General features: G+C 37.0%; 1 protein-coding gene across 1 annotated transcript in view; it reads left to right on the top strand.

Moving 5' to 3' along the window:
• TMEM74 (transmembrane protein 74) overlaps nt 1-21,381 on the top strand; it is a 180,745-nt gene that overhangs the window by 143,117 nt on the left and 16,247 nt on the right. The gene's annotated exons all lie outside the window — the stretch shown is intronic.

Genomic DNA, 21,381 nt, shown 5'->3' with positions numbered 1-21,381 from the left:
GCAATTGCTTTTGAGGTCTTAGCCATCAGTTCTGTGCCAAGACCAATGTCCAGAATGGAGTTTTCTTCTAAGAATTTATAGTTTGAAGTCTTACATTTAAATATTTAAATATTTAATCCATCTTGAGTTAATTTTTGCATCTGGTAAAAAGTAGAGGTCTTATTTCATTCCTCTGCATGTGGCTGACCAGTTATCCTAACAGCATTTATTGAACAGGGAATCATTTTCCCATTGCTTGTTTTTGTCGACCTTGTCAAGGATCGACAAGGCTGTAGGTTTGCGGTTTTATTTCTGGCTTCTCTATTCTGTTCCATTGGTTTATGTGTCTGTTTTTATACCAATACGGTACTGTTTCGGTTACTGTAGTCTTATGTTACAGTTCGAAGTCAGAAAATGTGATGCCTTCAGCTTTGTTCTTTTTGCTTGAGATTGCTTTGTCTACTTAGGCTCTTTTTTTGGTTCTATCTGAACTTTAGAATAGTTTTTTCTTATTCTGTGAAAAATGTCATTGGTAGTTTGATAGGAATAGCATTGAATCTGTAGATTGCTTTGGGCAATATGGCCATTTTAACAACATTGATTTTTCTAATCCATGAGCATGGAATATTTTTCCAGTTGTTTATGTCATCTCTGATTTCTTTCAGCAGTGTTTTATAGTTCTCCTTGTAGAGATCTTTTGACTCCTTGGTTAAAGGTATTCCTAGGTTGTTTTTTTTTTCTTTTGTCTATTGTGAATGGGATATGCATTCTTGCTTTCGTTTTCTTTTTCTTTTAGAGATGCGTTCTTGCCATGTTGCTGGTCTCCAAATCCTGGCCTCAAGTGATTCTCCCACCTGAGCCTCCCAAAGTGCTGGAATTACAGGCATGAGTCACTGCACCTGGCCTCATAAACTCTTTGAAATGGAGTGTAGATGTTTACAAAAGGCCCCTTAGTTCAAAAAGCTTCTGCCTTACACTTTCCAAAAATATGTGTGGCAAAAAATTGCTAAAGATCAGCTCTGTCCTTGAAAATCAGGAAGGAATAAATATATCTATACAAATTAGTATTTCAACGAATTACCCTGGCCTCAAGTTATAAGTGAAATAATGAGATTGCAGAGTTTAGCTCAGCCTAACACTCCTTTAGTCTAAGTCAATGGTTCTCAAAGTGTTATCCTTGGACCAGCAGCATCAGCATCACCTGAGAACTTCAAATACAACTTCTTGGCATACATCCCAGATGCACTGAATCAGAAGTTCTTCAGTTGGGTACAGCAATCTGTGTTTTTAAAAAGCTTTCCAAATGATTTTGATGCACACTAAGTTTGAAGACCACTGGGTTAGGCTATGTATTTCTCTAGCGTGGACTGTATACTCTTGAAATTAGCTATTTATTTGTCTCCTCCATTAGACTGCAAATTTCATAACAGCAGGAGCCATGCCAGTCTTTTACATTGTTATATTCCCATTGCTTAATATTGACGGTAGGGGTAAGGGGTATATAGTGAGTGCTCATAAATGTTTGTTGAGTACACCAATAAATGAATGAGTTAAGAGATGTTTTATTTTTCTATGGGATTATCATTCTAATTTTACCAGATTATCATTCAGAGCGCAGTCGTGAACTTGTAACAATTCCTACAATGAATTTAATAACTTTTCATGATATAATAGGCCTTTGAGCCTACTTTTCTTAGAAGAGCTGAAAACAGATGTGCCTTGCAATATTCCTGAGTGTGACTGTTTAACTAAATTCATGAGTTCATTCATTCACTAAATATTTATTGAATAGCTACCTATTTTTAGGTCTTCTGCTAGTAGTTTTGGGAGCTAGATTGATAGTAAAGTGTATTTGTGGCTCTCAAACGAGTATTCATCTCAGTAGTTAATTAATTCTAAACCTATTACACAAATTTGTTGAACACTATGCATTATTGGAGAATGAACTGATAAAGCCATATGTGTCTTCTGAATAAAGTCGAAAGTGTGCAGACAATTGCAGTTTACCAGCTTTGTCGATTGTTTTCTAGGACCATTCAAGCAATTAACAGATGTATCACACAAATAATTGAACACATATATTTTCTCTCTTTTTTTTTTTTTTTTTGAGATGGAGTCTCGCTCTGTGGTGGAGTGCAGTGACACAGTCTCGGCTGACTGCAACCTCCGCCTCCCAACTTCAAGCAATTCTCCTGTCTCAGCCTCCTGAGTAGCTGGGATTACAGGCATGCACCACCACGTCCAGTTAATTTTTTGTATTTTCATAGAAACAGGGTTTCACCGTGTTGCCCAGGCTGGTCTCAAACTCCTGATCTAAGGCAATCCACCCGCGTCAGCCTCCCAAAGTGCTAGAATTACAGGCATGAGCCACGGCGCCTGGCCTGAACACATATATTTTCCTAAATCTGTTTTTGTATTTCTAACTATTTACAGATCATGTTCATTTGAACGATACATGGATCCTTCAGCTAATGATGATTACTAATCATTACATTTACTAACACTTACTGATCCTTCACTGTGCCAGGCGTGTCAAATACAAAATATTAATTATTAATATATTACACTGATATTATTCCCTGAGAGCAGTTCAGTGCTCCCCTCAAAAGACCTAGGAAGCTAAGAGATCACATGAAAAATAAAGATGGAATAAAGTTTATGAAGCCCCTTAATGATGAGCTCTTTTCCAACTTAAGATGAAGGAGAAGGCTTCCATGACAGCTAGCAAGAAAGATTATTGGATTGGGCTATAGATTAATAGATTTAGTTGTTACTTGGCTTTCAAATTAACTATCCAGACCAAGGCGGCCTGAGAACCTACCTGTCCCACAAGTCTGCTCACTGTAGTCCAAAGGTCTTGGGGTGAGATATACTTCTGTTGAAGAGTACAACAGAAGACAGTCCCATGCAGAATTATGGGCAAAGCTGTATTGTGGGTGAGTTAACATGGTGGGAGCCCTTACAGTGTGACCTCAAGAGTATAGTAGCACATGGACTGCACAGCAGGAGAGAGGAATGCACACAGTGCAAAATGAGAAGCAGCACTGTCACAGTGCTAACAGGACAGGATTTGGGCCGTGGCAGTGGCATGCTGTCCCTGAAAGTCATCATTAAACATATACGCTTACAGGAAAAATGAGAATGAACTGTATCAGTAAGGCATGTATTTTGTATTTTTTGTTATTTTTCTTTGTATTTTTCCTAAAAGATGTCTGTAATGAGTATATATTGTTATTACAACCAGAAAACACAATATGTTGGTTTTGAATAGCACTCAGATTTCCAGGCAATCAATCTACCTGCCAACTTCAAAAGGACAAATAGCTACTTACCTTCTCTATTATACTGTAAGCTGATCTTCTAAAATCATTCTTAAAGTAGAGAATTAAGAAAATAACAAAGCAGCCCAAACTATAGCATCATGATCCCACAAATAACCAGGCTTTGATTGTTTTCTAATTTGGAAGGAAAAAGTCATGAAGTAACAATTGGGCAGGGAGAAAAAGTTGAAAGCAAAAGTTATTTTCAGTATCACTTTATATCATCTAAAAAGTGATTTATAAATGGCTAAAGTGATGACATCATTCTTGAATAGGTATGGGCTAAGAGTTGTTAATAGCATCCCTGGAAGCCAATCAAAGCCTGTTGTTTTGGAAATAATTATTAATCTCACTGTTTACATAAGTGTTTCTTGGCCCTGATGCTAACTGATGAAAGTCAGGGGTCATTATCCCAAGATACCAACTAGGCCAAAATGACAATATTTTTCTGAACCAATGCACAGTTGTGAGAGACTGACTTAACTGTGCATAGGTTGACTATATAAAAGATATTACTGTGATTTTTTTTCCAAAAAAAAATTTGCTAATCTCATATATTTAATGCCCTGAGCCTGAAATAAGTAAATATCCAAGGTTCTTCCACAGATCAATTTTGAGAAAAAGAAATGGATGAAGAGAATAACTTTAGATTGAAAAAAGGCTGATATAGAATATTTTAAACATATAATCAAAATAAATATACTGAGTAGAGACATACATTTAAATGATGAAGCTAAAATAAAAATTTAAGAAGTGATTACTATAGGCCAGGCACAGTTGCTCATGCCTGTAATCCCAGCACTTTGGGAGGCCGAGGCAGGCAGGTCACTTGAGGTCAGGAGTTCAAGACCAGCCTGGCCAACATGGTGAAACCCTGTCTCTACTAAAAACACAAAAATTTGCCTGTAATCCCAGCTACTCAGGAGGCTGAGGCAGGAGAATCGCTTGAACCCTGGAGTTGGAGTTTAGAGAGAGCCGAGATCACACTACTGCACTCCAGCCTGGGCGATAGAGCAAGACTCCGGACTCCGTCTCACCAAAAAAAAAAAAAAAAAAAAAAAAAGTGATTACTATAAAAGAGTAAAAGAATAGTAGTTACTTTTGAGAGTATGGAGGGGGTTACGAATGAGACAGGGGACATAGAAGAAGTATCTAGGCTAACTGACAAAGTACTACTTCTTTCCCTGCGTGGTGATATCAAAGATGTTTGCCTGATAATAATTTATTAAGCCTTAAAAGTTAAATTAAAATTATTTTAAATTAGTGCATACATACCCACAAAAACCCCACATGCATTTGGTATTAAATCCAATACATTAAAAATTCTAAGAGTGGTTCTCTGCTGAAGACAATATCTCTCTCCCTTCCCTATTCCCGATCGAGGAAACTTCGGAAATTTCCTGTAATACGTAGGGACCAAAATGAGTCATCAAAAGTACTGTGGGTGCATTTTTAATTGTCATTATGACTGGAGGGGCATTAGTAACATTATATGGGGTCAGATTTATAAACATCCTATAGCATAAGAAGAGCCCTATATGATAGGAAAATTATCCCACCCAAAAGGTGGAGTGTCACCCATGTAAAATTAACTAATCAATGATAATCACCTAATGTCCTGTGATGCCACATTTATTTATTTCATTATACTCATGTCTGCCCTTTCAGAAGGGAACACCATGTGTACACATGTATATGAACACACAGACATATACATGCATATATGTAATGTGTGTGTGTGTATAAAGAACTAGTCTATCAATTTCTAGGTTGAACAACTCATTTCACAGTTCACCAAATTGTAGTTTGATTGCATGTGGTTAAGCTCATGAGCCTTAGAGTCAAACAGTCTGGAAGCAAAACCTTGAGCAAGATACTTAATCCTTCTAAAATTCAGTTTACTCATATATAAACTGAAAATAATAGTATTAGCTACATGTACCAGGTAACTATTGCTAAGTAACCAACTACCTTATAATTTAGAGTTTAAACCCAAAACCATTTATTATTCCTTGCAATCTGAGATGGGCTGGGCTTGGCTGATCTCAGTAAGGGCTCACTCAGGCTTCTGCGATTACCCAGAAGAGAAGCTGGGGCTTGATAGTTTAGGATGACCTTGCTTGGGATATCTTGGCTCCTTTCCACATATGTCTCATATCTCTCCAGGAGACTGATGGCCTGTTCACTGGTGGTGGCAGAGATCCCAGCAACAGAAGGGAAATGTGCAAGCACTTTTTCAAGTCTCCACTTGCATCAGTTTGCTATTGTTCCATTTGCCATGCAAGTCACATGGTCACGCCTCAGTCAATGTTAAAAGAAATTACTAAAGGGTGTGGATGCAAGAGTGTGTGAAAAAATGGGACTATTAATGCGATCAGCCCACCACACCGCATCACAGACCTGTGTGAAAATTACACATGCCAATAAGTGTAAAATACATAATACAGTGCCTAGCACACAGTAAGTGCTCAATAATTGTTAGTAATTATCAGGAGTAAGAGGCTACACATAATATTTCAAGCTTCCTACCTAGTGTAGCTGAATATGTTATGGAATTATAGTTGTGTCTGAATTCAAGACTACTTATTCCCGATAAACTTTTTTTTTTTTTTTTAATGCTAGAGACTTTGGAAATTTCACCAAGTTACTGAAAATTTGTTACTTAGATCTGGATTGACTTAGTTTGAATCTATTGAAAAACTGCAAAACAAGTAATAAGAAAAACAACATGAAGATTATGAGAATATTTTCCTAGAATCTTAACAACAAAATAGAGTGTTAGTAAAAAATGAAATAACAAAAGAACATTTTTTAAGCATGAAGCTTATTTCTCTTCAATAAAGTTGAATAGACAACCTTAAAAACTTTGAAATTGAACCCCTAGAGGTGGAAAAGTATGTACAAATTTCTAAGCAGAGTTCTTCGCAGGGTTACAAAAGCAAATTCTCATTTTTAATTAATAATTGTGAAATGACATGATATTACTGGACTTTGAATTTAGCTTGGAAAAGCTTTAGGCAAACAAACATTTTCACTGACCCTTCAGAATCTGCACTGGCCCTTCCCACAGTTCTACTTTCACACCCAAGTATGAAATGTGAAGACATGCACGTAGAAGTGCAGTCAGCATTTGGCTGCATTAGCTGAATGTGTCTGCAAAGAGAGGTTGGTAATACCAGGAAACTAGAAACACACAATCAGCCTATCTGTTAGGAGAACACCAAAAAATTTTCTTCCCACCAATTATTTTACCAACTTTGCTTTCCACCCAGAAATATACAAGCGGTAAAATAGATCACATTTTCAGTGTTTTGGCTAAAGACTTGTCATTAATTGTTTCTTACCCTGAAATATTGGATCCTTACTGCTGCTATGGCAAATTACCACAAATTTAGTGGCTTAAGACAACACAAATTCATTCTTTTACATTTCTAGAGGTCAGAAGTACTAAAGTAAAGGTGTCAGTAGTCCTGCCCTCCTCTTTCCTTCTGTAGGCTCTAGAAGAGAATTTATTTCCTTGACTCTCAGCTGTTCCATACCATCTGTATTCCTTGGCTTGTGGCCCTTTTCTTTTCAAAGCCAGCAACATGGTATCTTCAAATCTCTTTAATTGTCTCTGTCTCTCTCTGCTTCTGAGATCACATTTCCTTTGATTCTGACCTTTCTGCCTGCCTTATAAAGATCCTTATGATTATACTGGGCCCACTCAGATAATCCGGGATAATCTCCCCATCTCAAGATACTTCATCACTTCAGCAAAGTCCTTTTTCAATGTAAAATAACATACTTATAGGTTCCAGAGATTAGGAAGTGGGCATTTTTGAGTACCATTATTCTGCCTACCACACCTGGTCAAAAAGGAGATTGCATATTTTAAAAAATTATATAATAAATATGTATTTCTTAACTGTCAGCTACAAAGAGCTGACATTTCAAATGGGAAAAGTGCTATTTGGCCTTTCTGATTTATAAGCTTATTGTGAAGATTAAAATAATATGGAACAATCTTTGCATTCTGCATGCATCTGGAATATAGACTAACCCTCAAATTAGAGAATATAATGCTTGAACTTTCGCTTGTCAAGAATAGCAGGAGTAATGAGAAGTTTGATCTGCATTTTATCAAAGCCCTAATCCTATCTATATTTTAATTCCAAGGAACCTCTTGCTTAATAGTATCCAAGAGAGAAAGGAGTGCTTACTAGGGTAGAGAGCTACTGGAAGCTGGGTTTGACTTGACCGATCATGGTCAACACATAGTAGCTGAGACAAACTTTCCTTTCCTTTCATTTTCATTCTTTGAGGAGGGGTGAACCCATTCCCTGGTGTTATGGCCAGTAAAGAGATCTGGATGCCCAGAATCAAAGCACTTTCACTTCTTTTACTCGGCCACTTCCTCAGGATGGAGAGCAGAATGTGCTATATAAGGCGTGATTCCTGAGTACACTCAGGCAATGTCGATCCTAGGCAAAGTGATCTCCAATGGTTGTGTCCAGAAACTTGATGGGGAATCAGACCCCTTTTATGCTGGCTGTTGGGTTCTTCACAGACTAACATACTGAACCTCAGGTAGGCCTGATCTTCCAAAATGCTACAGCCTTAGTTTTTAGATCTTTGGGGTCTTTTGTTCCTCAGGGAAAGTCATTCCCAAGGAGAGTTGAATTAAAGCTGATTCCAAATGGAGAACATAGATATGGCAGCTGCTTCAAATACAGAGTATAATGCTCACTCTTTTCCTTCTGCTAAGTGCCATCTTTCTCTGATCTTAATGTTAGCTTTACTTAAAAACTTGTCATTGATGGTTGGTCGGGACCACCCTAATACTAACAGAGCTCCCCAGTTGTGAATCTGAGGGAGAACAAACTAAGGGAACAGAATTGCTTCCTTCTCTGCCAACTCTCTGGGCTCCTCATACAGGCTAGCCCACTCCCACTAATTCCTTATACTGATGGGAGGCTTAAAGAATAAGATGGAAGATCTCCTTGCAACTTTTTGTTACTGCAGCATTCTATTCAGCATATATTCACTTACTCAAATAGGTACTAAAGCCTTTCCCAAGGAGACCTTGCAACTCTACAGAGTGGGGAGGAGCTACTTTTCCTGATTGAGAATATAAAGTAATTAAATGTCTACCGGACTTTCTGGTTTAAAGATAATGTATATGAAAGGACTCCATAGATTTTAAAGGGCTGCTTAAAAACAAATTGTAGTAAATTTTATCTTTTATCAAGGAATGAAGGAAAGGACATCACAAAAATTAGCCACTCTGTCCATTTGAAGAACTTAGAGTAGTCTCTGATCCTCAGTGGGCTTACAGTCTAATTGCAAAGATGAGATTAAGTGTCATTAAAGTATTCAAGAACAATGCAAGACAACATTCAATCAGAAGAGAGAGACCAACAGAAATCCAAAGTAGTAAAAAAATTAGTCAAGGTTGCAGGCTGGAATAGTCAGAGAAATCTTCATGAAAAGGGACGTAAGCTGAGATTTTTGGTTTTAATGAATAGATGTCAGCTAAACAGAAAGTCTATTTGCAAACCTTCTAAGTGAGGAGAGATATGATATTAAAAATAAACCCAGTGTTGGCGAGGTGAATGAGAATTGTCTTGTCTGGTCTAAAGGTGTGTTTAAAAGAATAGTAAGAAATTAAATTTGAAGACCTTTTCTATAACATCTAAAAAATTAGCAAAGCATTGTGAGATGATTTAAGAGATGCTGGATCCTACTTCAGGCTTCTGAACAGAGGAGAAACCCAAGGAAAACATTGCCTTGAGAAGCACATAACTCTATGGTATGCAGAAAGGATCGGAGGAAGAAAAGACCAGAGGCAGCAGTCTCAGATAGGACATAATTTCAGTCTCTCTGGTGGAAAGCCTGGGAGAACATCAGTAACAGGAAAAAAAAAATGCGCTAAGACCAGCCATACTGTTGAGGAAGAAGCAATTGTTTTGGAGTTTTGTTGTTGTTGTTTAAATTGAGTTGACATTGAAAAGATGAGGAGAGAAATTTGAGGGAGGAGCCAAGGGTTACTTTTTTAACAGATACAGGAGAGATTTAGGGAGAGGCCACTTGAGTAGGGAAGGCAGAGAACTTGATTTGACCATGATACATTTGAAATTGTGGCAGCATGGGACTGGAAAGCTATAGAATCGGGACTGGAGGTGAATATGAATGCATATACAAGGCCAGCTACAATGTTACGTGACAATAAGAAGGAAGAGAATATTCTTGATAGCCCTCCATGCCAGCGTGTAAGACTCACTTTGGGAAGGACAGAAAACTCTCAGATCACCTCTACTGCTCAGACTGTGATGCTGACTTCTTCACTCTGAAGTGCAATTCATCTGGAGGCTCCTTGGTGCTGTGAATACATTACTGTGCAGATTCATTTGCATTACCCAGATTCTGGGGCCTGAATCTAGGCCACCTGCAATGTTAAGTTGAGGAAACTTTCCCCACATGCCTAAATGTTAAGTTGAGGAAACTCTTTCCCCACATGCCTAAAGAGGAGCAGTGGTCTCGGTTTTCTTAGAGTGAAGAGTCCCCTGAAAATCAGCCACATTGCCAGAGTAAAGGAGGGAAATGGAGAGCCCATCCATGAACAAAGGAAAAGGTTTGGAAAGAGTGGAATATCTTTCCAACTGGTGTGGGTAGCCTTATTCTGCAGGATGTCTCAGAAAGTTACAACAGGCCCACAGGACAGCTGTCTTTCCAAAATGATTCATGGATTTTGAGCTAATGTACAGTGTTGGGAGAGAGGAGGAGTAATTTATAGGGGGAAATAGGAGTAGCATTTGGTTGAACATATAAGCTAAATAATGTTAAAGCATGCCCAGCAACTCCCTCTACAAGTGCCAAAACATGATTTTTCTCTTCTTGCTTTTAAGCTTATTTCATCAGCTGGTATTCTATAAATGCCATTTTTTGGGGATGGAGGTGGGGAGGAGAGTTTTTTATTGTGGCTTCTCCAGTTATTCTGTTTCAGTTGCAATTCTCCCACCAGAATGTTAAGTCATATGGCCATAAAAACACTCCAGGTGACTGCTTTGTGTTCTGTGCCCATGCTCTTCCTCTTCTCTTGATGCCCATGGGAAATGTCAGTGAGTAGCCTCAGTTTGCCGGTAACTTTTGTCATCTTCTACGTGGTAAATTGCTTTTCTCTCTTTGGCTTGTATTCACTTCCTTTAGAGAAAGATACTTTTCTTCAAGATTTCTGCAAAGTAATTTTCCTGTTGAAACCAAATAAAATAAAATACCAAACATTTGCCCTATCCAAATAATGCTTGATTGCTTAAAAATGCATATATTAGAAAATTTATGCCTCATGACATGGCAAGCAAAAGAGGTTTAGTTGCCCCAAATCTTTACACAAGGGTGGTCACCACTGAAACAAGGCAAGGAACATGGCTAAGATCCATTAGAGAGCATTTGGAAATCAGTATTGATGCTGACAATTCCACAAGCATGCTCACTGGGGAGCCAGCTAAATCTTCCAGAGAGAGAGAACATAGTAAGATGGATAAGAACAAAGACTGGAAGATAAACAAAACTGGTTCCAATCCCAGCTCTAGCACTCACTGCTTATATGGTGTTGAGAACCTTATCCAATATCTCAGAGTCTCAATTTCCTTACCTGTGAAAAAGGATAATGTTATATTCATTGTGGATTCTCATAAGGAATACATGAGATCAAATCTTAAGTTCATAATTACTAGCTTATAAGTGTCAGTTATTCATTACCAACCAACCTAAATGAAAAGACAGCTGAGATTCAGGTAGAAAAAGAAAGGAGTGATGCTTAGCCTAATCAGAGAGGGAAGAGATAGCAGCACAAATTTTTTATTTGCTTGACAAATTTCTCCTGAGCCAGTGATGGTTCTTGCCCTTCAAAACTTAGTATTATCACAATTGAGTAATGATGGCTCATAAAGAAATGTAAAAATCCTATAAAATCCTATTGTTTCTTGGGGAAAGAACAAGTATAAAATGGTGGGGGAAAAAGTCAGCGATTATTACAGTAATCCTCTGAGTGATAAAAACCACTTTGCACAGAGATGACAGATTTTTCACAGAAACAACCAAGGCTTGAGGTTTTTATTTCATGCAAGTCATAAATGTGTGATTTTTTTATTACTCTGAAAGAAGAGGATTGCTGCCTAATGGGACCATTATTTGAACACTCTTCTTCCCAGTACGGAATCATTAACTTTGTAAACTCTGAGCCCACGGTGTTCTGAACTAGAATGAACCAATCTTAAATTTTACTCATGCAAACTAGAAGAACATGTTCTACTTAATGTTCATCAGAGAATCATTTTAGAACTGAGAGTGATCCTGGTCCAACTCTCATTTTGTCAATAAGGAAATTAAGGTTCAGAGACTCCCACATTAGGTTACTGACTTACTCAGAAACCACATAGTAAGAAAATGACACAGCCAAGAGGCAAACCTAGGCCTTTTCCATGAAGTCCAAAATGACTAATCTAACATATTAACATGTTAATCTAACAATGAGCAATAAATGTTCATTGAATGAGTGAATGAATCCTAACTCCCAAATTTGTTCATTTTCTACTTCATGTGACTTTCACTTATTTCTTTCTTTCTTAGGTAATTTTTATTTAATCATGGTCCTTGAAATGGTAGTTAGAGGTTTATTTAAATAAACTAATTTTCTATAAATTTCTCATCATCTTTTAAAATTTATAACATCATTGCATTTTCTAATGATAAATATATGCATTGTCATTGGTAAACATGGAAAAATTCAAGAAAATAGAGTACAAATTATTAATTATTTTTGTTATTGTTATCTGTGATAAGAAAACAAGAGCTATCCACTTAGCAAATTTTTAAGTATGCACCACAGTGTTGTTACCTCTTCTTTCTTAAAGATAGCATTTTTTCTGTCCTATCATACACTCTAGTTACTGTCCATCCTTTTTCCTTTCCCCTATACTTAATCTTCCTGAAAAAATTCATTCACATGTCCTGTATCATCTACAGCTTGAAGCCTGTCACAGCCTCTCCAATATTCTCTAGGCTGGGATAACGTCCTTCCTGTGCATTCTTATAGCATCACTGAGTTATTCTGTAACTATTAATCTCTACTGTGGCCTTCTGTTCACTCACCTGCCTCCCAGTTGAAATGGTAAGCCTCCCATGAGGGTAGGAACAAAATCTTACCTGGGTTGAAGCTCTAATGTCAATTGGGCACAATGCCTGACTTATAGTAAGAGCTCAATAAATTTCTGATAAAAAACAGCTTGGAATGGATATGTTATTAATTAATTTAATCTAACTATCTACACCCCCAGTGGCTTGTATTGGTCAAAACAAAAGTAGAAACATTTCTATTTGATGTTTTCTAACATCTGAGATTGATTTACAAAAATAGAGGAATAAGGAAAAGAAGGGGCACCAGAAGCAATCGCAACAAAAGCAAAAGTTGACAAATGGGAACCTAAGAGCCTCTGTACAGCAAAAGAAACTATTCACAGAGTAAACAGACAACCTACAGAACGGGCAGAAGTGTTTGCAAACTATGCATCCGACAAAGGTCTAATATCCGGCATCTTTAAGCAACTTAAACCAATTTACAAGGAAAAGAAGATAAATTAGAAGTAAGTTTCATAGCTTCTTCCCATTAGTCTCAAACCAAATACAAGTCTCTACCTAAATATGCTGAGTGTTTTGAGTGTGCTTTTGACACCAAGTGGAAAGCAAATGGGAGAGTTATTCTAACCATGCTTCAAAAATTCTCGGAAAGCTAAAGGAGGGTAAAGTTCTACAATCCTGTTTTTCCCAGGTGACCTAACAGAATCAAATCACATTCAAACTGGCAATACCCTTTCGGGCTTGGAGGCTGTGTTCCTTCACACTCCACTACCTGCAGCACCCATGACCTCACCAACACCACTTCAGGACACTTTTTATTAAGCATCTGTGTTAGATTGCTAGAGCTGCCATAGCAAAGTACCTCACGTCCTGGAATAACCTGGTAGTCTTGTTCAATACTATTCATGATAACAACAATGGAAAAAAAAATCTATTCCCAGCCCATGCCACTCTCCATGTAGTGTTCTTCCCATGTCCAAGTGGCTTTTCTTCAGGACTTTAATTTCTTCCCACATTCTAAAGATGTGCACATGAAGTGAATTTCCATGTCTATTTGGTCCCGGTATGAGTGAGTGTAGGTGTATGTGACTGAGTGAGTGTGCCCCACAATGAAACAGGGTCTTGTCCAGGGCTGGTTCCTGCCTTGTGTCCTGAACTGCTGGGGTAGACTCATGACTCCTGTGACATGGAACTGATGTGGGCATTTAGTGCTATAAATTTCCCTCTTAACACTGCTTTAGCTGTGTCCTAGAGATTCTGGTACATTGTCTCTTTTTTCTCATTAGTTTCAAAGAACTTTTTGATTTCTGCCTTAATTTCATTATTTACCCAGTAAATAACTCACTATTAGTAAATACCCACTATTTCCATGTAGTCCTCCAGTTTTGAGTGAATTTCTTAATCCTGAGTTCTAATTTGATTGCACTGTGGTCTGAGAGACTCTTTGTTATGATTTCCTTGCATTTGCTGAGGTGTGTTTTACTTCCAATGACATGGTCGATTTTAGAATAAGTGCTATGTAGTGCTGAGAAGAATGTATATTCTGTTGATTTGGGATGGAGAGTTCTGTACATGTCTATTAGGTCCACTTGGTCCATAGCTGAGTTCAAGTCCTGAATATCCTTGTGAATTTTCTGTCTCGTCGATCTGTCTAATATTGACATTGGGGTGTTAAAGTCTCCCACTATTATTGTGTGGGAGTCTAAGTCTCTTTGTAGATCTCTAATAACTTGTTTTATGAATCTGGGTGCTCTTGTATTGGGTGCCTATATATTTAGGATAGTTAGATCTTCTAGTTGCATTGATCCTTTTATGTAATGCCCTTCTTTGTCATTTTGATCTTTGTTGGTTTAAAGTCTGTTATCTCAGAGACTAGGATTGTAACCCCTGCTTTTTTTTTGCTTTCCATTTGTTTGGTAAATATTCCCCCATTCCTTTATTTTGAGCCTATGCATGTCTTTGCATGTGAGATGGATATCCTGAATACAGCACATTGATGGGTCTTGATTATTTATCCAATTTGCCAGTCTGTGTATTTTGATTGGAGCATTTAGCCCATTTACATTTAAGGTTAATATTGTTATGTCTGAATTTGATCCTGTAATCAAGATGCTCGCTGGTTATTTTGCACATTAGTTGAAGCAGTTTCTTCATAGTGTCATTGGTTTTTATATTTTGGTGTGTTTTTGCAGTGGCTGGTACCAGTTTTTCATTTCCATATTTAGTGCTTCTTTCAGGAGCTCTTGTAAGGCAGGCCTGGTGGTGACAAAATCCCTCAGCATTTTCTTGTCTGGAAAGGATTTTATTTCTCCTTTGCTTATAAAGCTTTGTTTGACCAGATATAAAATTCTGGGTTGAAAATTATTTTATTTAAGAATGTTGAATGTTGGCCCCCACTCTCTTCTGACTGGTAGGGTTTCTGCAGAGATATCCACTCTCAGTCTGATGGGCTTCCCTTTGTAGGTAACCTGACCTTTCTCGCTGGCTGCCCTTAATAATTTTTCCCTCATTTCAACCTTGGAGAATCTGACAATTATGTGTCTTGGGGTTGCTCTTGTCTATGAGTATCTTAGTGGTGTTCTCTGTATTTGTTGAATTTGGATGTTGGCCTTTCTTACTAGGTTGGGGAACTTCTCCTGGATAATATCCTGAAGTGTGTTTTCCAACTTGGTTCCATTCTCCCTGTCACTTTCAGGTATACCAATCAATCATAGGCTTGGTCTTTTCACATAGTCCCATATTTCTTGAAGTCTTTGTTTTTTCCTTTTCATTCTTTTTTCTCTAATCTTGTCTTGACACCTTATTTTGGTAAGTTGATCTTCAATCTCTGATATCCTTTCTTGCACTTGATTGATTTGGCTATTGATACTTGTGTATGCTTTATGAAGTTCTCGTGCTGTGTTTTTCAGCTCCATCAGGTCAATTATGTTCTCCTCTAAACTGGTTATTCTAGTTAGCACATCAGAATGGACAGGCAATCTACAGAATGGGAAAAAATTTTTGCAATCTATCCATCTGACAAAGGTCTAATATCCAGAGTGTACAAGAAACTTAAACAAACTTACAAGAAAAAAACAAACAACACCATTAAAAAGTGGGCAAAGGATATTAACAGACACTTTTCAAAAGAAGACATTTATGTGGCCAACAAACATATGAAAAAAAAATCTCACCATCACTGGTCATTAGAGAAATGCAAATCAAAACCACAGTGAGATACCATCTCATGCCAGATAGAATGGCAATCATTAAAAAGTCAGGAAATAACAGATGCTGGCGAGGATGTGGAGAACTAAAAATGTTTTTATACCTTTGGTGGAAGTATAAATTAGTTCAACCATTATGGCAGACAGTGTGGCAATTTCTCAAGGATCTAGAACCAGAAATACCATTTGACCCAGCCATCTCATTTCTGGGTATATACCCAAAGGATTATAAATCATTCTACTATAAAGACACATGTACATGTATGTTTATTGCAGCACTATTTACAATAGCAAAGACTTGGAACCAAACCAAATGCTCATCAATGATAGACTGGATAAAGAAAATGTGGCATGTATACACCATAAAATACTATGCAGCCATAAAAAAGGATGAGTTCATGTCCTTTGCAGGGACATAGATGAAGCTGCACTAACCCCAGGTAGATAGTATCAAAATTGAATTCAATTACAGGACACTTAGTTGGTGTCTGCAGAGAACTGAGTTTTTGCAGGACGAGAACCTAAACATTTGGTTCCTGAAGTGTTCTAGGTTGAGTGCAAATACAGACAAATGTTTTTTCTATACATTCAAAAAGGTGATAAATTAGTTTGAGATAACTCTATAGCCTCTAACCAGATTATTGCAACTTAGGTCAACTTCCATTATAGACCAGACTATCAACTAATGTACCAAGGTAAGTGATGATCCTGAGCATAACTCAGGGAGTCAAACTGCAAGCCATTCTGAGTCTTTATTTGTAAAGTTGCTTTGACTATTTTATTTTATTTTTTATTTTTGAGACAGTGTTTTGGTCTGTTACCCAGGCTGGAATGCAGTGGCACCACTTCAGTTAATTGCAACCTTCACCACCCAGTCTTAAGCGATCCTCCTGCCTCATCAGCCTCGTGAGTAGCTGGGATTACAGGCATGCACCACCATACCCAGCTAATGTTTTTGTATTTTTAGAAGAGACGAGGTTTCACCATATTGCCCAGGCTGGTCTCAAACTCCTGACCTCAAGTCAAACATCCGCCTCAGCTTCCCAAACTGCTGGGATTAAAGGTGTGAGCCATCATGCATGGACAATTTGACTCTTAATAAGCCCCAATAATCAGCATCATTCCCCTCACTATGGGTCTCAGTGAAAATTCTGGTCTCTCATTTAGGATATTTTTTCTTAACCCTCTTGAAGTATTCCTTTAGTGACCACATTGCAAAAGGTTCCTCCCCTTTGAGTATGAGAAGTCTTCTCAATGTACTTTCTTGAGTACAGAAGCAGAAATAAGAGTAATGGTTAAACTCTATTGAGTGCTTACTGTATAACAGGCACTGTGCTAGGAATTTTAATTTGTTATCTCATTTTTTTCTTTACAACAACCATAGGCGGTCATGATTAGCATTATCCCTACTTTACAGGTGACTTACTTAAAGCACACAGCTCAACTATGGTGAAGCAAGAATTTGGATTCCTTCTGTATTGTTCTAAATCCCATGTTTCTATGTCATACTATCTCCCACATCACTATAGATCATTTCCCAGATGGCATAGATGCCCACAGGAGCTGGATACCATATGACAGAGCCCTTTGTCTATAGCTTGCTTTATTCAAGGGACCATCTGGAAGTGTGGGAGGAGGGAGGTCAATCTGAAAGATTCCTCACTCTAGTTGTAAACTATAGTAGTTTTGCAACCTTGTTCTCTCTAAAAACCCAAGTAATAACGGAGAAAGAAAATGGAATTTGCACATTGATTGTACTGATTTGTTGAGTGGTAAACATTTTGAATTATTTTTACACACTTAAAGGGAAAATGATAGTATTAACAAAAGAGAACAAGAGAATTTGCATATTAAAGATTTTTTTATGTCTCCACAAAATGACTTCTAGCCAATCCAAAATTACCTAATCTTCTTTAGTAATGACCATTAAGAAATCATTTATGGATTTCTTGTGAGTGTTCAGAGATACTAATGGGCTTTAGAATGATTTGGGAATCTTCCTGAGGTCAAAGGAAGAAAATGAAGTATGAAGTGTTGATAAAATGTATGAGGTGGCTAATGGGCAGGTTGTATATATAGATAGACAGATAGGGTCTAGCAAGAAAACATTGAATTTTTATAGCATACATTTCAACAAATGGAAATCTCACTGCCATAGCCTCTTATCTTCACTTACGAGCCAGGAAGAACGATAACGTTGTGTGTAGCCATCTTCCATATCAGATTGTCAATGATTTTCCAGTCCTCAGGTCACTGGCCCAGACCACCTCCACAGCCATCACACCCTCAGCTGCTGAAATCTTATGAAAAGCAGTGGAGAAATAATGCACATTTGATGAGGCACCAATAAACGACTTGCTCTTACACAGCGTAAACGGCTAATTTAAACATGATTGTTACATGGCAAACATTAATACTGCAACCAGCCCATCTAGGAATCAGGTATCTCTCTAGGCTTTTGTTACATATGTAAGCCAACAAAATGATATTAAATCTAATGAAATTAAGAGGTGCATAATATCATAAAATTCTGAATTGTAAGAGGGACATTCAGAGCAGAATTTTATGACTTTATTTTGAATCATACAATAGCATTCTGGATTTTTTCCAATATAGAGACAAACAGAATCATGTTTTATAGAAAATAAATGTATTAGAAATAATGTAATAATGTAAATAATGTAGAAAATAGTTGTAATACAAACAATAGAATAGTGGACAAGTTATCATTTTAAAAGAAATTTGTCTTGAGTCATCAGTGAATCTAACTAAGAAGCCTGAATGAGATGTTGAATTATTGTTTAATAGAAATAATCCCAATTCTGGCTCTCAGTAAACCAGGTCTTAAGGTCAAGTCAATTGTCTACATTATTGAGTGATTCAATTATACACTGATTATGTATTTGGAGTATACATAAAGTTTATATGAAGTTTGCTTGACCTACTATGTACCCCTTACATACTGTTCCTGTATTTAAGGAATGTATTTGTTTGAGAAAAGACATAATTGATATTTTCCAAATATAATTTTTTTAGGCATATCAGACTCCATCCCTATAGTAACATTAAGCTTGCTTGCAGGTTAATATTGGGTAGAGAGACTTAAAAATAACTAGATTTTATCAAGAGCAAGACAACAACAAGAATTATTTTGCATAGTGGGCAACAGTGTAGGCACATTGGGGATATTAAATGATATATATTTGATAAAGTATACTCTGCAAACATTTTGACTGCTATACCTTATCTTTAAACCTTAAACTATGATCCTATGTTTAATCTAAAGAATTCACATCTGCAATACATAATTTTGTGTTTTGTTTGGAAAAGAAAATCTAGAACGGTCCAAGATAATTTTTAGTACCAAGAAGGGAAGAGCAAAGCTACTTGTGAACTGGAAAGCAATAGACGCAAACACTTTCAAGGGAATACTGGAAAGAAATATGTTAGTATTTAACTGTGATCTCATCGCATGACTATATAGAATGTTTACCTCATCACATTTTGATTTGTTCTTTATGGTATGAACATAGGAAAAGTTTTTCAAAAAAATGCAGAATTGAAAAACTTGGAACCTTGCTTTCATGTTCCATTCCTACCCTTTCACATGTGTGGTTTGTGTTGTGGTTAACAGTTTAAAATCTGTGTGTTCCCTCTTCCACATGATTAACAAATATGCAAGATAAGCTTTAGGGGTCTAGGTCAAAGTCTCCCACCACTTGCTGCCCTGTGAGAAACACACATCCAAATTCTTATCTTTCCTCACCTCTCACCCTCCACCTCTCTCCCTCCAGAGTTTTCATTAACAAGACAGAACATTCTGTGGGAAAACTCTGCAGAAAATCTAAATGTTTTCAAATATACTAAATAGGTTAATTTAAGTAAGTATGGCTCTCTCTCTGTCTTCCTACATTTAGCTAATACATTATCTCTATCTTTTTCTGGTACTTTAAAATATAATAAAATAATCTGAAAGATGGCATTTGAGGGGTAATGAAATAAGAAGGAACAGTGAATAATTTCATTCAGCACGTTATAGACACACAGTTCCTATACAGTTAAGGAATAATAAAGGTTTACATACCTTTATCTTTACTATGGTCTTTAACTCCACAGAAAAGGAAAACGTAGATATGGCTGACCAATCCAAATATACTCAATGCCTATTAATTACATGTTCAGTAGATAGGTGTTATGAGAAAAATGAAAGATATAAAATAGAGTGTCCTACTGTTGAAATGTTTAAAATTTAGCTGAAGAGACTATGTATACCTTAAATAAGATATGTATAGTTAGGAATATATTTGCATATCTATTTTGACATGTCAGAGGACAGCATTCTGGAATCCACAAATTTTCTTTAAGGAAGAAGTAATCACTTTCTCTTGAGGTGTTCTACAGACAACTGGGCCTTCAGTTACAGATACAATTTTTATACTTAAGGAAGAGAGGAATAATATAAGCAAAGGTATTAATGTGAGAAAACCTTTAGAAGCTTCTGGAAAAAGTGTGAGTAGTTCACAAGGATCACCCAAATTCTTTAACAGTAGGTTATTGCATTCATTATTCTGCTACCTTTCTATCTGACTGGCCAAGGCCAGGTTAACACTTTAAAGCTCTTAATGAATAGATTATGATGTTGTTCCCTTACATACACAGACAATATTTAAAATAAAGGCAAGAGAATCTATAAAAGGAGGTCAAAATTCTGATTTGTTTTATTTTGGAATAATACAATTCATTGGGTAGGGTGCTGTTGGTTCTCCTACTTTGCTGATGAACTAAAGTAAATTGTCAAGACTATGCATATCCTGGCACTGGGAAATCTGACTATGGCTGGAAGAATTAACTTTGAAGAATCTTATTATGTCTCCCAAAGTTTTCAGATAAGAATAAGATTAGACACAGTTTCTCAAAGTCACCACTATAGGTATTTTGATTCCAATAATTCTTTGCTTTAGGGGGAGTGCCCTGTGTAGGGTGTTGAGCAGTATTACTGGCCTTTACCTACAGGACAGCAATAGCAGTTGTAAAAATCAAAAATGTCTCCAGACATGGCCAAATGTCCCATGAGAGAAAAATCCAGGGGACATTCTGGCTCTTTGAGAACCACTGGGTTAGAGGAAAGCATCAAAACTAGTAAATTAACAGGAAAGTCCATCAACTTTCCCCTGAAAATTAGAAATACATTTTCAAACTCTATTTGCACTTGCAACTGATCAATTAGGAGTGAAAGATACTTAAAATATGTATTAATATATTAAGGCTAGTGTTGGCCTAAGATGAGTAAATAAACAACTAATTATATACAAGTGTAAATATTAACACAAATCAGGAAACCATTAAAGGCTATTCACAGCCAACATAGAAACACTGTTATCTGCACCTAAGAGAAATACTGGAGACCAGCAATGAAGCCCGTTAGAAAGTTCTTAGTTTCTGGGAGAAGCCATTTCAAGACTACTAGCTTCCTTGAGCTTCAAAAGCCAACAAAAGCCAGCAGAACTAGTGCCCACTTGGAAAAGGGTTTGTTTGTTTTGCTTATCTGGAGCCAAAGACAACACTCTTAATAGTTTTGAAGACCTAAATGTTTCACAGCATTTAGAAAGGACCTAATTTGTAGACAGAAGTGTCTATCTATAAATGAGCACATATCCTCCTCACAGGGCCTTGACATACAGTCAAAACTAATTTAAAAGCATTTACACTTAACTATTTCTAAACAAGGAGTAGAGGACCAATAAAATTGTGAGTTGGTT

The sequence above is a fragment of the Homo sapiens genome, chromosome 8 (genome assembly GCF_000001405.40).
Source record: "Homo sapiens chromosome 8, GRCh38.p14 Primary Assembly".
Taxonomy (NCBI): Eukaryota; Metazoa; Chordata; class Mammalia; order Primates; family Hominidae; genus Homo; species Homo sapiens.
Note: the sequence above shows the minus strand (reverse complement) of the source record. Positions and strands in the feature narration are given on the sequence as shown.